Source organism: Homo sapiens, chromosome 19, assembly GCF_000001405.40.
Source record: "Homo sapiens chromosome 19, GRCh38.p14 Primary Assembly".
In the NCBI taxonomy this organism is placed as follows: domain Eukaryota; kingdom Metazoa; phylum Chordata; class Mammalia; order Primates; family Hominidae; genus Homo; species Homo sapiens.
In genome coordinates, this window is record NC_000019.10 from 15,270,578 (window position 1) to 15,286,297 (window position 15,720).

Genomic DNA, 15,720 nt, shown 5'->3' on the forward strand with positions numbered 1-15,720 from the left:
CAGAATAGTGAAGAGGAATTGGGGTGAAGGCAGAGAGAACGGTGGGGGAAGAGGAACTGCCAGCCTGGATAGTACGGTTTGGGGCCATGATAGGAGATCAAAATGCGGGTGAAGACCTAGAAGGCATCAGAAAACAGACAAGGAATACTTTTTAGGGTGGCCTTATTAACATCTCCTGAAGAAGGAAGTCCCCAGAATACAGATTTAGCATGATGATGCTCCTGATCAAGCATCCCCTTTGGCTCAGCCCCCACCAAATGCCCTGAGACCACTCTCACTCAGCAAGCTCCTTCCTCAGCTCCTCACTCTCCCATCTCTGAAGACATCAGATCAGGGCCACCATGGATCAGTCCCTTCTTCTTATGTCAGAGCTAATGAGGGCGACGTCAACAGTCATAGGGACAGGTAGATTCACACTCTGCCTGGACCAAGAACGTCCTGGCCACTCTCCAGCCTGCACTTCAGAGACTGACCTTGAACTCCCAAACCCCATGGCCTAACCAATCACCCATACTTGTCTGTCCCGCTGGCCAGCACTGTTCCCTCAACCTCAACTGGGATGCTGCTGCTTCTCGGCAATCTCAAGTCCCCCAGCCCTTCCTTCTCCTGTCTTCACCTTCTCAGCCCTCCCTGCTTCAGTTCCCACTGCGTTTTCTTGTAACAAGCTGACCCCTCTGCTATTCTGGCACTGATGCGTTTCCCTTCAAAGCCAAGCTTCTTGAAATGGTGGCTTCACATCCTCACCTTCTCATTCACACCGTCGCAATCTGGTTTCTACTTCTGTGTCACGTCTTCCTAAGGTCACCAATGCCCTCCTAAAGGTCAACAGGATGATCAGGTCGGAATCCTCATCTCTTTGACCTCCCTGTAGCTTCTGATGTTGGAATCTGGGGAAATGCTCTCTTCTGTAGGCCTTCTGCCTTCCCTCCAACCCCTAAGGGCCTCACAACGCTCTGGGTTCCACTCCAGTCCCCAGTTCCTTCTCTCCTGGTTCTGTGCATCTGCTCTGAGAATTTCACTCTCAACTATGGACCCTGTCCAGCCCAGCTAGAGATTGGTGCAGTGAGCTCCCCCAACAGTCTCCCTCCCGCAGGCCAACACAGCTGACTGCCTCCACTCCTCATCTTGGTCAATGGAGAGCGTGGCGCCTCTTCTGCCTCCATACCTTTCCTGAGCCATTTCAAGACCCAGACACGTACTGCCCTGTTCTGATTATCTTCCCCCGAGTGCTTGACACGTATTCAGTGAAGCAATAGCACCAGACAGTTCTTACAGACACAATGACTTTAAACTTGGGAGTAAGGATGCCTGGCAGAGGCTAAGGCCGCTCCTACACACCAGTGGCTCTGGTGTGCACACACCAGTGGCTCTGGTGTGCACACACCAGTCTGGGTCAGTGGCTGCAACCACCTAATGCACTTGCCAGGGGGTGTACAGGACTTGGCAAACAGCAAAGGACAATTTAAAGACAATTAGTCTTTGGTGCTTTAAAGAAAAAAAAACTGAAGCATTTATTCCATCTGCTCCCTGAGGTTCAGCTGGAGATACAGGTTTGCTTGCAGAACAGTTTGCTAGGGACATGGGCATATGGAAAACTCTCCAGGGAAAGAGAAGAGGGGCGGGCTCACAAAAGCACAAGAGCAAGTGTGCTGTAGCCAGAGGGAGGGAGGGCAACACCACCTGTGCAGCTGCAGCCACAGCCACCTTTCTCCAACTGGGGACGCCTCCATGTACTTGCACTCCCTGCGAGGTAATCCCACTATCTTTCCCCACCGTGTGCTCCGGGTGACAGTGACGATGATGCTAGGTGACCACTACTGCAGCAAGCCAATTCCCCTCTAGCATAGTTTGATCAACTACGTCTACTTATCCTTGATCAACTATGTCCACACCTGAGAAATGAAGGGGCTAGGATGGCCAAGTGCTCTGACTTCAACTCACCATGGAACTGGAAGTAGATCTGTGGGCCTTCCTTTCTCCCACTGCTTCAACCTCTACACAATTTTCCCCAGGATTCCAATATCTAAGAAACCAGTTATTGTTAAGCCAATTAGCTCATTCTTTCTCCCTGATTTCAACTGATCAGAACTGCTGAAACCACTCACTCAAGGGCCCTGCAGCTCTCACCATGATTCCAAATGCATCTCCTACCCTCCCCCCAGGAACTGCCCTGACCAGGAGACATGCAGGAGACGACCTCCAGGACGGCCACCCTGGGCCCTGCCCACACTACTCACAGGGAGGTTCAGCTTGACGGCATCCACAGGCTGCTGGAAAGGCCATGCAAACTGGTGTTTCCATAGTGTCTTGAGCACCACTCTGAGCAGGTATTGCAGTTGGTTGGTCTGCCTCTTGGGCTTGTTAGGGTTGGAGGTCTCTGGGGGCGGGGGGTTGGTGCTGGCTGCGTTGGCTGGCTGGGGTTGGGCCTGGGCCTGTGTTGTAGACATTTGGGAAGTTTCTAGTCCATCCCCCATTACTGGCAGATTTCTCAATCTCGTCCCAGGGCCGCTCTCCGCAGACATGCTAGTGATCCCATCACATTCTTCACCAGGCACTCTACAAAGGAAGAGAAGAGCCCCCGTGAGATATCAGTCAGCAGATGGGCACCGCTCAGAATGACAAGTCCCTCTGGCTGTGGTCTCCAAGGACTGAGTTCCCTGGCGGTAGCTAGCCAAGTTGGCCAGAGGGACCACCCCATGCTTTGACTGAAAGGGTTCCAATGTCTCCTCTCCCCAAAGACTTACCCTCCAGCAGGGAGGAGACCACAAACCAACAGAGGAGGCAGAGTGAGGTGGTGAGAGCCCACTAGGAGCCAGCAAAGGCTCTGGGAACTATGAAGGTCATGGGGAAGGATGTACAATGAAGCCACGTCTCACAAACCTGCACATCCCTTTTCCCACCTGTGAGTTTTTAGGAGATGCTGCCTGTGTGTGGAAGGGGATGATGTGCAGGCTCCCACATATGACATTTACATTAAAACTCCTTGCATTTATCACACACAAAGCATCGAGCAAAGTCAATCATTTCATTTGGTGGGCCAGGCAAGGAGAAGCAGGAAGGCTGGGTCTGCCCACCCATGGATGGCCCACCCAGTCCACTGCCAAGTGCTCAGGGCAAAGCCACAAACCTACTAAGAATATTTTCTTGGTAACTTAAATAATGCAGGTCTGCTGAGGAAAGAATCTGCATGTTTACTGCCGATAAAATAAAAATGAATCCATACTAGACCTACCATTTTCTTTTTTTTTTTTTTTTTTCATCTCTAGTAATAAACCTAAGAACTCAGTGGAGATATCATTCTGGGATGAACTTTTAGTGGGTTCAGAAGCAGCTTTATGCCTAGCACACACTAGGCACCCTAGCTGCCAGTGAATTACTTTGTGTAATTTATTTAAACCAGGATTACACAAACTTTTTTTGTAAATGCAGTTCTGGCAAATAATCCTATTTTAAAAGCTCCAAACGGAGAATTTGCTACATAAAGCAACTCCATGGACTAGGCTGTGGAGATAGGAGGCCAGTGAGATAGGAGAAGACACAGGGACAAATGACACAAGCCACATATCAGCTTGCTGGGAACCTTGGGTCCAGTGTACCAGTCTTGGTCCAGACACAGATAGATTACAGGACACACCAAGTGACTGGACACAAGTATTGGTAGAAGGACAGCATCACAGACAAGGAAACAAGTCAGTGGGGTTTAAACCCCACTCACATGTGGAGTAGGCTGGAGAGGGCTTCCATGCAGCAGGACCAGCAAGTCCAAAGTGACCAATGGGGACAAGTGTGATGGGGTCAAGGGGAGGGGAGGCCTAAAGGCACTGTGGAAGCCTGGATCCCAAGATGGAGGGTACAAAGAGTGAGGCCAAGGAATGCCATTCAGTTTGGTTTCTATGATTAGATTTCTCCTAGAAAGCAGCTCCAGAAACATATAGCTGATGCTGCGCACCAAGCACACGCCAGGTAAGTGATGGCAGGCAGGGGCAGGAGCAGCCCAGCCACAAGGACACAGGCGGCCAGGGTGCAGAGCCAAGCTGTCCCAAAAGGAAGCAGACCCTATAAATTTTCCATTAAGTAATGACATTCTGGAAATCTCTAAGCAATGCCCTTGAGGCAAGATGAGGCCAAGGACTTCTAGAACTTCTGGGCTGGGCCATGCTTGTCTCTTTCCAAAAAGACTTGCAGCAAAGCCAAGGGACAAAAACTCATGTGTGCTCTAGGCCAGTGACCACTCTTCTTCACCTTCTCACCAGGCCTAGATAGGCCCTTGAGCCGAGGAAGCTGAATTTTCCTTTTTTTTTTTTTTTGGAGACAGGGTCTGTCGCCCAGGCAGTGCAGTGGTGCAATCTTGGCTCACTGCAACCTCTGCCTTCCAGGGTCAAGTGATTCTCCCACCTCAGCCTCCCCAGTAGCTAGGATTACAGGCGTGTGCCACCATGGCTGGCTAATATTTGTATTTTTAGTGGAGATGGGGTTTCACCATGTTGGCCAGGCTGGTCTCAAACTCCTGACCTCAGGTGATCCACCTGCCTCGGCCTCCCAAATTGCTGGGGTTACAGGCGTGAGCCACCATGCCCGGACAGAAGCTGAATTTTCTGTTCACAAGAGGAAAAAAACAGTTTTCTACAGAAAACCTGACTCTTGAACCTTGCCTCATTTGGTGTTTTAAGCCATTGCAAAAGCCAAAACACCCCTCCCTAGCCAGCCAGCTCACAAGTGATGCACAGTAACAGTTAAATCCTCAAAAATGCTAACATTGCTTCTGGCCTCATCCCCACTTTACAGATAGGGAAACCAAGGCAGAGAGAAGTACCTGACCCAGGAGTGGAAACACCAGGTCTAAGCAGATAGAGTGGCCCAAAACCTGGCATCTGATTCCTGGGCAGTTAAGTTGGCCTTTGAATTAAGGAAGTCCTCATTAGTGAGCTGCACACACACACATCAGAAGTGTCCAACACAGATGGTCGTGACACAGTGGCCATCCTTAACACACACACACCCAGGCCCCTGAGGAAAGAAACTGCTGGAGGTTGTCTGTTCAAATGTGAAGGTATGACATGTTCGACACATAAGACAAACCTGGTAGCTACCAGTACCCCAAAGTTTCTTTAAGGAGGCTCTGAAGATAACCAATGAAAGTGACATCTGGCCGGGCACGGTGGCTCACGTCTGTAATCCCAGCACTTCGGGAGGCCAAGAAGGGTGGGTCACTTGAGGTCAGGAATTGGAGATGAGCCTGGACAACATGATGGAACCCCATCTCTACTAAAAAGACAAAAAATTAGCCGGGCATGGTGGCCAGCTACTCGGGAGGCCGAGGCCGGAGAACTGCCTTGAACCTGGGAGGCGGAAACTGCAGTGAGCCATGATTGTGCCACTGTACTCCAGCCTGGGCAACAAGAGTAAAACTCCATCTCAAAAAAAGAAAAAGAAAAGAAAAGAAAGTGATATCCATGGCCCCACAAGGGAGATCACCATAAGATACCTGGGACTCCTGCACCCACTCTGGGCCTGTGCAGCACCTGCACCTCAAGGGACCACACTGACCTACTGCTATGCCCACAGCCTTCCCATGACTACAGGAAAGTAAGACCCTTGGGAAACTTCAAGAGCCCACTCTTACTGCAATGACAAGAAACATGAGGAAAACCAACCACTTCTAGTCTGTTATGGGGCAAGAAAGAGAGGTACAGTGAGAAGTCCTATGTGAGACCCAGATGACTTTTCTAAGGCCCAGATTTGATATGAGGTCAGCCTCCTTGGGCGAATTCTTCCCACAGCGGTTCCCCCCAACCCCACACTGCCCCAGGCCCCTAGCATCTAGGCTCTAACAACAAGTCAGCCAACCCTGTCACCTTCAGCCTTTGATCTGCTAGCCCTACTGCCAGACAGATGGATGGATGCAGACATAGGCTCACAGACTCTCTCTCTCTCTCTCTCTGGCCCATAGCATCTGGTGCTTCCCTCATCTCCATCTACTGAGTTCCATGGTCAGCCCCCTAGGAACCTGAAGGCAGGCTCATCTTTATTTCACTTTTATCTTCCCAGCACACAGGAGGTGAACCCTTAGTGACCATACCCACATTGTCATCCTGGGGCTTCCAGCTCAATCTCAAAGCTCTGGAAAAGCAAAACAGTTCACACTCTCACATGGATAATGTGGAGACCACCAGACTCAGTCACTCGCTCAGGCAACAGGTCCTAACATGCCTTGCCCTAGGACTCAGCGGTTGACATGGCATTCTCCCGAGTGATTAGGCAATACATGGGGTGAATACTGTGGAGGAGAAGGGCAGGGCTGCTCTGGCCATGGACGGGGAGAGGGATCTGCACTGACCCGAGGGACAGGCGGCATCTCTGAAGAAGGGACAGAGAATGAGACCAGAGGCGGGGGAAGAGTGTGTGCGCTTCTGTGGTGGGGGTCAGGCAGGCAGTGGCAAGAGAAGGCATGCCTGGCATAGATAACAGGAGACAACATCTTCAAAGTTTTCCGTTGAAAAGATTAAAAACTGCTGCTCCCTCTCCATTTTCATACTGACCTGTGGCCAAAAAGCAGGAGCCACCATTCACCACGTTAAGAGTTAGCTGAAGGTCAAGGAAAAGGAAAAGAATTTCGCTTATTGTTTCCAATCCAAAGGCGGCTACATAATCGAACTTGATGTCCTACTTTTGTATCTACTTCCAACAGAAACCCTATATCATGTTCCCAGTGTAGAAGAAAAGGATGAAGCAAGGTTAGACAATGCTGTAGTTCCCAAACTGAGTGCCCAGGTGCCTTGGGGATGTCATGGTAAACTCAGATGGCATTGCAGGAACTATCAGCACAAGGCAATTGATCATTTCAACACCAGATTGCACTATATTCAACAGTGTCACAGCCTGCAACACTTGATCAGCAAGTTGCTGTAATAAAACAAAGATTGTCCAGGCACAGTGGCTCACGCCTGTAATCCCAGCACTTTGGGAGGCCATGGCAGGTGGATCACCTTAAGTCTGGAATTTGAGACCAGCCTGGCCAACACAGTGCAACCCTATCTCTACCAAAAAAAAAAAAAAAAAAAAAGTACCCAGGCATGGTGGTGTACACCTGTGGTCCCAGCTACTCAGGAGGCTGAGGCAGGAGAATTACTTAAACCCAGGAGGTGGAGGTTGCAGTGAGCAGAGATGGCGCCACTATACTCCAGCCTGGGCAACACAGCAAGACTCCGTCTCCAAAACAAAACAAAACAAAACAAAAAGCAAAGGTCATATAAAAATCAACATGAACACCTGTAATCCCAGCACTTTGGGAGGCCGAGGCAGGCGGATCACGAGGTCAGGAGACCGAGACCATCCTGGCTAACACAGTGAAACCCCATCTCTACTAAAAATACAAAAAATTAGCCAGGCATGGCAGCGGGCGCCTGTAGTCCCAGCTACTTGGGAGGCTGAGGCAGGAGCATGGTGTGAACCTGGGAGGTGGAGCCTGCAGTGAGCCAAGATAGCACAACTGCATTCCAGCCTGGGAGACAGAGCAAGACTCCGTCTCAAAAAAAAAAAAAAAAAAAAAAAAAAAAAAAAAAATCAAAATCAACATCAACAGGAGATGCAGGTAGTGACATCCAACCTGGTTCTAAGGTTTGAGGATTTGTGCAGCATCCAACAGGCAGACACATCCTATTAGAAAGTAACTATGGGCCAGGCATGGCGGGCCACACCTGTAATCCCAGCACTCTGGGAAAACGAGGTAGGCAGATCACTTGAGGTCAGGAGTTGCAGACCAGCCTGCCAATCTGGTGAAACCCCATCTCTACTAAAAATACAGAAAAATCAGCCAGGTATGGTGGCGCATGCTTGTAATCCAGCTACTCCAGAGGCTGAGACAGGAGAATCACTTGAACCCGGGAGGTGGAGGTTGCAGTGAGCAGAGATTGTGCCACTGTACTCCAGCCTGGGCAACAAAGCAAGACTCTGCCCAACCCCCGCCAAAAAAAAAAAAAAAAAAAAAGAAATAACTATGGTTATGTAAGAATAAAATATATATTCCTGTTTTTTTTTTTCAGACAGCTACACAGTTGTTGAGACATTGGTACTTATTCTGCTGCTTGTGCTTAACCACCTAATAAACAATATTGTTGGCTACTTCCTCTGGCCTGAGGCATCACAGAAAAAACTGAGACGTTTAAGGATGTTGTGAACCAAGAAAATTTGGGAACTTCTGGGTTAATGAAAATAAAAATGTAAATTTTCCCTCTAAATTCATAGACCTCTGATTAAGCATGCCTGTTTTCTTTTCTTTTTTGAGACGGAGTTTTGCTCTTGTTGCCCAGGCTGGAGTGCAATAGCGTGATCTCGACTCACTGTAACCTCCGCCTCCCAGGTTCCAGCAATTCTCCGGCCTCAGCCTCCTGAGTAGCTGGTATTACAAGCATGCGCCTGCACGCCTGGCTAATTTTGTATTTTTAGTAGAGATGGGGTTTCTCCATGTTGGTCAGGCTGGTCTCAAACTCCCAACATCAGATGATCCGCCCACTTCGGCCGCCCAAAGTGCTGGGATTACAGGCGTGAGCCACCGCACCCGGCTAAGCATGCCTGTTTTCAAAGATGTTCTTTGCAATCATAATATTTAAGTGAATTTTGGGAAAATATTAGGGATAGACAGTACTTAACAGAGAACACAACTGTAATGTTTTATAACTCTGAACAGGAAACAAACTGTTTCCTTGGACTAACTTTATTTACAATCTAGTCAATAGTTCAGACAAATTAGAAATCTAACAAAAGATATAGAAAACAAAAAATCCAAAACCAGCTCAGAAAGTTTGAACACTTTCTGCAATGATGGAGTCCCTACTTGCAAAGTGGATGGCAGCAAGCCCTCTTCACTGGTATCCTCCATCAAGTCATAGTTCTCTCCATCGCCCGTCCCAATTAGCTCCTATCCTTCAAAGGGGCTTTCAGGGTCTCCAGACAGGCTTTGTTCTGAACCCACTCATCACAAAGCAGTCTGGCCCCAAGCAACCTGTTCCCAGACCAGGAAAGGAGATTAGAAAGCAGGATATAGATAGATACAGACATGCAGGGCAGGCTTAGTTCTGGGACTCTAAAGGCAAGCCAGAGAGGAAAAGAGAAAGACCACAAACAACTGCCCAGAATCTGCTGATTGCTGGAGATTCAGTTCCCAGTTCCGTCCATCACAAGTCACTGAGAAAACCAATGGGTTGGGACCAGCTATACTTTGTATTTGCAGTTCTACCTGAAGTCCTGGCCTCCCAGCGGACCTCTTGAAACCCAGTAATCCTGCCTTCATTCTGTCTGGTCTGTTCAGACTCACCCCTCTCCTAAAGTGATGGAGCACACAGGTAGAAAGACGCCAGGGAAGGCAGAAGCAGTCGCCAAGACGATGGCTGGTTAAACCACACTTAGCAGAGCTTTATGCAAGCCATCATCACACAGACCTGCACCAGGGCCTAGAAGAGCTCCACAGGAGGTACCTGCCACTTCTTGAGCTGATGCTGTTATCGAGCACTTCATCTGTATTGGCTTAGTTATCCACACAACAACCCTAAAAAGCAGGCTGCGACTTTATCATCTTCATCATCATCCCCATGGGGACAGAGGCAGAGTGGATGGTGGCCTGGTTGGCTGGACGTCATTTGGAACAGTGTGTGCTTCAAGTCCTCTGCTCCACAGCTGTCTCCACTCACCAAGCACAGTGGCAACACCCACAAGGGGCAGAGGCCCAGTCATCCTACACGGGTCTTTGGCTTGGCCAGCAGCACCACACTTTGCTGTACCCATCAGTGGCCTGCCTTCTCTGCAGAAGCAGCTGGGTGCCATGTGGCCCATAAGCTGGGTCTTAAGTCAGACTTCTAGCAGTAGTATTCCAAAGAATTTCATCCTCGTAAACAAATCAGAGCCAAGACCTCTCCCTGCAGCACCTGGCCATCTGCTTACAATGAGATATATCCCGTGTCATAGGTGAAATCTAAAACATACCACTGTGCTGAAGTCATGAGGTGTGGGGGCAAGGGGAAGGGACACCAAGTTGTTATTTATGCTTCCCAAGCAGTAAGATGCCTGAGGGGACATGGCTTAAATTTGTTTTATTCCATACAGACTGCCAGCCAATGCCAACTGACTACAGCCCCTCATGAAATCACAAGTTCACAGTCACACATACCCTTCAGGTAGAGGAGGTCACCTCTCCACCGCTCCAAGGCTCTTGAATAAACAATTATTTTCAGGGAATGCTAGATTCTGCCCAGGGACAAAAACAAGAGGATGAGGGACCCTGACTGGTAAAAACCTGGTAATTTCTCAATACAATTCAATTTACAGCAATTTACATCTTATCTTGTCCTAGAAACATCTTTGCTGAAATGCTGATTACACAACATCAATATCAGAAGGTCTGTTCCCCTCCTAGGTGCTAGAGTGGCATCTACTTCAAATTCCTGACAGCGGCTTCTTTAATTGTGCAATCTGTGTCAGTGGGGAAGCACAAATAGGATTACTTTTCCATCTGACTGGCTCAGGCAGCTGGTGAGAACAGCGCTCGTGTCATCAGCCAGACTGCGCCGCCTGGAGCCGGGCCAGTGGCCGTGCGCCGAGGCAGCTCTTAGAGGCCTTAATCCTCCTTCACGCAGTGTGTATACACCCTGCCCCCCACCCCTTGGACCAGCCAAGTGGTGGGGCCCCATTACCTCTTGACTCTGCAGTACCCCAGACCCTGCAACTTGCCTTGGATTAGACAAGCCAAGGCAGAGATATACTGGCCTTGCTGCTAGGGGAGAGTGTGAGCCACACTCAAGCTCTCTGTTCCCCACTGGAGGGGACACAGGCACACAAGGATCTTGCAGTCAGGAGGCCAGGAAACTGGGCGGGACACAATCTCACCAACCAGAATTCCAGTCTCTCTGCTTTTGAAACTCATCAGCAGGCTAATTAAACTAGTAGCACTGAAAATGCTGCAGCATCTTTTCACTGCAAAAGCTGCCAGCAACTGGAGGGACAAGTGGCTCAGGTACAGTGAAAGGATCCATTGTTACATGTGGGTTACATCATGTTGCTGATTGTTAAATCTGGGCGGATGGATTCATGAAATGTAAAATGTTCCTGTGAGAAGCATGTAGCAAAAACAAAACTTTGACATGGACAAGATCAAAACTGTTGGGTTGGCCAGGCATGGTGGCTTACGTCTATAATCTCAACACTTTGGGAGGCCGAGGCGGGTGGATTGCCTGAGTTCAGGAGTTCAAGACCACCATGGGCAACACAGTGAAACCCTATCTCTACTAATATACAAAAAATTAGCCAGGCATGGCGGCGTGCACCTGTAGTCCCAGCTACTCAGGAGGCTGAGGCAGGATAATTGCTTGAACTTGGGAGGCAGAGGTTGCAGTGAGCCGAGATTGTGCCACTGCACTCCAGCCTGGGCAACAGAGCGAGACTCCATCTCCAAAACAAACAAACAAACAAACAAACAAAAACTGTTGGGTTAAAATGTATTCCAGCAGGGGCAGGCTAGGCTAACTTTTCCTGTAAAGGGCCAGAGAGCAAATATTGTCAGCTGTGCAGGACAAACAGCCTGTTAAAATATTCCATTCTGCCATCATCATAAAATGAAAGCAGCCACAAATAATCCTGAAACAAATGAGCCTCACTGTGTGCCAAAAAAACTGACTGGCCTGCAGGCCATAGTTTGCAGCCCATTCCATAGATTTCTAGACTTTGTGAAGGTAAGAGAATGTGATGTTACATCAGAAATGCAGGATGCAAAATTACAGATGAAATTAGGTAACAATGCCAGGTGGGTGGGCACAAAGACCCACAGAATGAAGCCAGAGGTGGTGGCAGGTGTGTGGATGACAACACCTACTTACACTGAAAACCAACCAACCACTCGGCCACACATGTAAAAACTACTCAGCCTCTATGCAATCTATCCCCTTTGACAAGCCCATACTGGCCTCTTGGTGTCTGTCCACTTCTACCTGGTAAGTTGGCCCTTCAGGCACTACACCTGGCCAAATTACAGGCTGAAAGATTATGATAGAAATGTCATTAATTCAAGCTATGCATTCCCACTGACTCAGCTGTGCCCTTCACAGTTAAGAGTGGCATTTTCTCCTTGTTGACTCCTTTAAAGCCATTTCCCCATCTCCTTTACCTGTCTTCACTTTACACCTTTTCAGCTATTCATCTTTTTCAACAGAGCTGTGGGGTATGTGGCACTGAGATTCATCCACACCATAATATGAAACACAGCTGGAAGTGCTGACACACACAGTCCCAGCTCTTAGGAGGCTCAGGTGGGAGCATTGCTTGAGCTCAGCAAGGCTACAGCAGTTAAGCTATGATCATGTCACTGCACTCCAGCCTAGGCGACAGAGTAAGACTCTGTCTTTAAAAATAATAATAAATTAAATAATTAAATTATGAAACGCAATGTGACATGACTGTGAATTTATGGATTAAAACCCTGCTTTGAGAGAGACTCCAAGATGGCCAGGGAGCAATGCAGATCACAAAGTAGGGGCTGGCAGTGAGCTGGGCACTTTGCTCTGCTTAAGAGGGGTGTTTCCTAGGAGGAAGGAAATACGGGGGACACACTTGGAGAATGAAAGACTACAAAGACAGCAAGAGTGGGAGAGGAAGTTCACTTCTTAGAGGGCACGAAGAATTAAAATGAGAAGAAAGTTTAAGAGTGAAAGACAGGTTTAGTTAAACTCAGCTGATAATACACTCCTGGGCTGCCCCTGGTGTCAATCAGAAAATTTCTCCGGATGACATCACACCGGTCTTCTGAAATTTTCCCATTGCAAACAAAAGCATAAAAACTAAGCTTATAATCCTCATTTAAATTTAAAACTATAAAAATTTCCTATATACCAAACACCAGGGAAACATGTTATGACAGCTTCTATGTGAGTGGTCAAGATCACGCCCTTTGGGAATTTGGGAAGCCAAGAGAGAGATGAGTGAAATGCAAACAACAATCTGCATGGTTCATGACCACAATGCCTGTGGCTGAAATGTTCCAAAACACACCAGCTTAACACACAGTCCTGTTATGTGTAAGTGGAAACAACACTGAACTCTTGAAACAGATCCACGAGTGGGAATGGTGACATTCCAATCAACTGCTCTAATTTCACCCACTGGGAAGCCGCCCGGGTGAGTAAGCAAGAGTGTATCACGCCTCTTAAGTTTCTTCTCAAAGCAGCAGAGCAGCGGCTGACTCAAGGTGTCCCTGGAACCTGCCCACACTCACTGGGGACACAAAAGGGAACAGGGCTGGCACAAGTGCTTTCAGAGACACCATGACCCAACACCCCCACCAGCAACATTTTAGCCATGACTAGCAAGAGCCCTTGCTGGGTGGGAAAGCCAAACTAGACCTTTGATGGGCACGAGGAGAGATGGAGCCAGGAACAGACACATGCATGAAAGGCAATAGCACACAATGACTCAGGGTCCAGAGGTATCAAAGCCTGGGTATCTCGATGAAGAGCTGACGTTAATGGGATGATCTTTTCTTCAATGATATTACCCTGGGCACTTCATTGTGATTTTAAGAGAAAGATCTGGAAAAAACGTTACACCTGTCAGTATCTAGACACGCTCAAGAAATGGCTTCAGACAAGAAGACTTTTCTTCTCATCTTGCCCTCACCACTCATTAGGTACAGAATCCAATCTATGGGGATCAGGAGGAGGAACGGCATCACTTTTCTTGAAGAAAAGGGAACGCAGAATGTGACACTAAATTAACGTCAGAGCTTCCAGCTTCCAAAGACCCCAAGTCCCTGGCTGACAAAGCAGGAACTGAAGACTGACCCAAGACCCAAAGATGACCAGTCAGTGAGAGCTGACAGTGTCTCAAGTGCTGGATTTATATCTGATACACACCCCCAAGGGTACACAAAAGGCCATTCTTACAACTTTACAGAAGCCTTTGATGGTCAATGCCGTCCTAGGTAAACAGGCCAAGGGGTCCCCACCTTCCAGGCAACATTAACTTCACTTTCAAGCTTCTCTTCCCTCAGGTAAAAGCAAGCCACCCAGATAACCCATTCCATGCACTGCTGGGAGGCCCTCCACACACATTCAGTGTCTACTTCTGTCCAGACAACTGAACTGAATCTGCTGGAGAGGGATGCTTGGAAGTAAATAGCTGTCACCCTCTCATCTCAGTAACTTTCAGAATATAAAGGAGCAGAATAAAATGAAACCCACACCACTTCAGACGACTACAGCTAAGGAAGCAAAAAACTTGGCAGGCATAATCACTTTGTGAGAACCATGTTCTTGTTTGCCCCTAATTCCACCTAACTTCCACAAAGTAAATAACCCACAGAAGTCAAGCAGCCCAACTCTTACACTGACAGGCGAGTACATGGAGGTGCTGGAGAGAAAAGACACAGAGCATGCCTCATCTCCTCACTGTGCACACCCTTCCTCCTCTCTCCAGCCCCTGCAGGCAGCAGCCACTCACAGAGCAGCCCTGGGTGCTGTGCCACAAGGGAGCCTTGGATGCAGCCAAGTTGGCATCTTGCAGACTCAAGAGTCCATCACACAACCTAAGTTCACTCCCCTGCAGATGTGGCCAGCTTGTCCTCTGAGTCCACTGAGGAGTAACAGCCACTTAACTGGTAAGGAATTTTCAGACCAATAGAAACCAAAACCCAGGGCAGCGACTATCACACTCGTATGGAACCTGTGGCAGTCCCTAGGAACGCCTCACCACCTTTCTACTAAAAATCTGATTAAGTTCAGGAGTTCAGGCCCAGCCTGGGCAACATGGCAAAACCGTGTCTCTACCAAAAATACAAAAGATTAGCCAGGCTTGGTGGTGCACGCCTGTGGTCCCAGCTACTCTGCCCAGCTCCAGCTACTTGGGAGGCCAAGGAGGGAGGATCGCTTGAGCCTGGGAGACAGAGGTTGCTGTGAGCCGAAATCACACCACTGCACTCCAACTTGGGTGACAGAGTGAGACCCCATCTCAAAAAAAGAAAAAAAAATCTAAGGATGTAGAAATAAGGTGCATCACACATAAATAAAGCCTTAGACTAGGGTCTAGCATACAGAATGAAAAAATTTTAAAAAGTGCACATCCCTGAGTAGAAAAGAGATGGCAAGATAACATAAAACTTTGGCTAATTTTTATTACTACTTTTTACATTTGTTTTTCCCAACTCCCTGAAATACCATCAACATAGTTATCAATCAGGAACTAAAGGGAAAAAATACTTTAAGGAGGACTTAAATGGCCAGGGGTGGGTGGGGGCACGAAGCACAGCAGGAGAGACACCTGGCTTAGTTAGGATGGTGCCCACTCTGAGTTTAGTAACTGCTTTAGGAGGCGTGTGTGAGGAGAGCCAGAGAGCAACATGCTGGCAGCATGAGACCCACTGGCCTTCCCTAGCTCCCTAAGTTATTCCCAGGTTCTCCCAGATGCCATGCTAGGCTTGCCTCGTCCAGGGAGGGAGCCACCTCAAGGAGGTGCCCCATTACCCTCTCCTAAGTCCCAATACCCTCCCACCAATTCTTCCCACGCCTCTGTCCTATGGACCTAAGGCCAAAAGCCAGACAAAGGGGGACAAAGGTCTTTCCTCAGGTATCCAGTAACACAAATCAGTCCAGTCCCCTCCACCCCGAGCAGATGAGAAAAGGAGCATAGCCCCTCCCCTGCACCGGCCTAACATGGAGGAGCCAACACAGTGCTGCAGCAAGACCA

General features: G+C 48.5%; 1 protein-coding gene across 11 annotated transcripts in view, besides 2 other annotated features; it reads right to left on the reverse strand.

Annotated features, from left to right (window-relative positions):
- BRD4 (bromodomain containing 4) overlaps positions 1-15,720 on the reverse strand; it is a 97,021-nt gene that overhangs the window by 35,059 nt on the left and 46,242 nt on the right. For 8 of the 11 annotated variants that reach the window (XR_007066712.1, NM_001379291.1, XM_047438540.1 and 5 more), the window contains one exon: positions 2,238-2,556. Coding sequence is in view for 9 of the 11 variants with exons in the window: in NM_001379291.1 (NP_001366220.1) it covers positions 2,238-2,522 (285 nt within the window). In the remaining 2 variants the exon portion in view is untranslated. Of the gene's footprint in view, positions 1-2,237; positions 2,557-5,079; positions 6,907-9,686; positions 9,875-15,720 lie in introns of those variants that run through there. The other 3 variants (NM_058243.3, NM_014299.3, XM_047438544.1) reach the window with 2 other exon arrangements.
- Positions 3,899-4,398: an enhancer, noted in NCBI's record as "H3K27ac hESC enhancer chr19:15385287-15385786 (GRCh37/hg19 assembly coordinates)". NCBI's record gives its function as "activates a minimal SCP1, AML or CMV promoter by ChIP-STARR-seq in primed H9 embryonic stem cells {active_cell/tissue: H9 hESC(primed)}" and the evidence as "EXISTENCE:reporter gene assay evidence [ECO:0000049][PMID:30033119]".
- Positions 15,564-15,613: an enhancer, noted in NCBI's record as "active region_14182". NCBI's record gives its function as "activates an Ori minimal core promoter by ATAC-STARR-seq in GM12878 lymphoblastoid cells {active_cell/tissue: GM12878}" and the evidence as "EXISTENCE:reporter gene assay evidence [ECO:0000049][PMID:35858748]".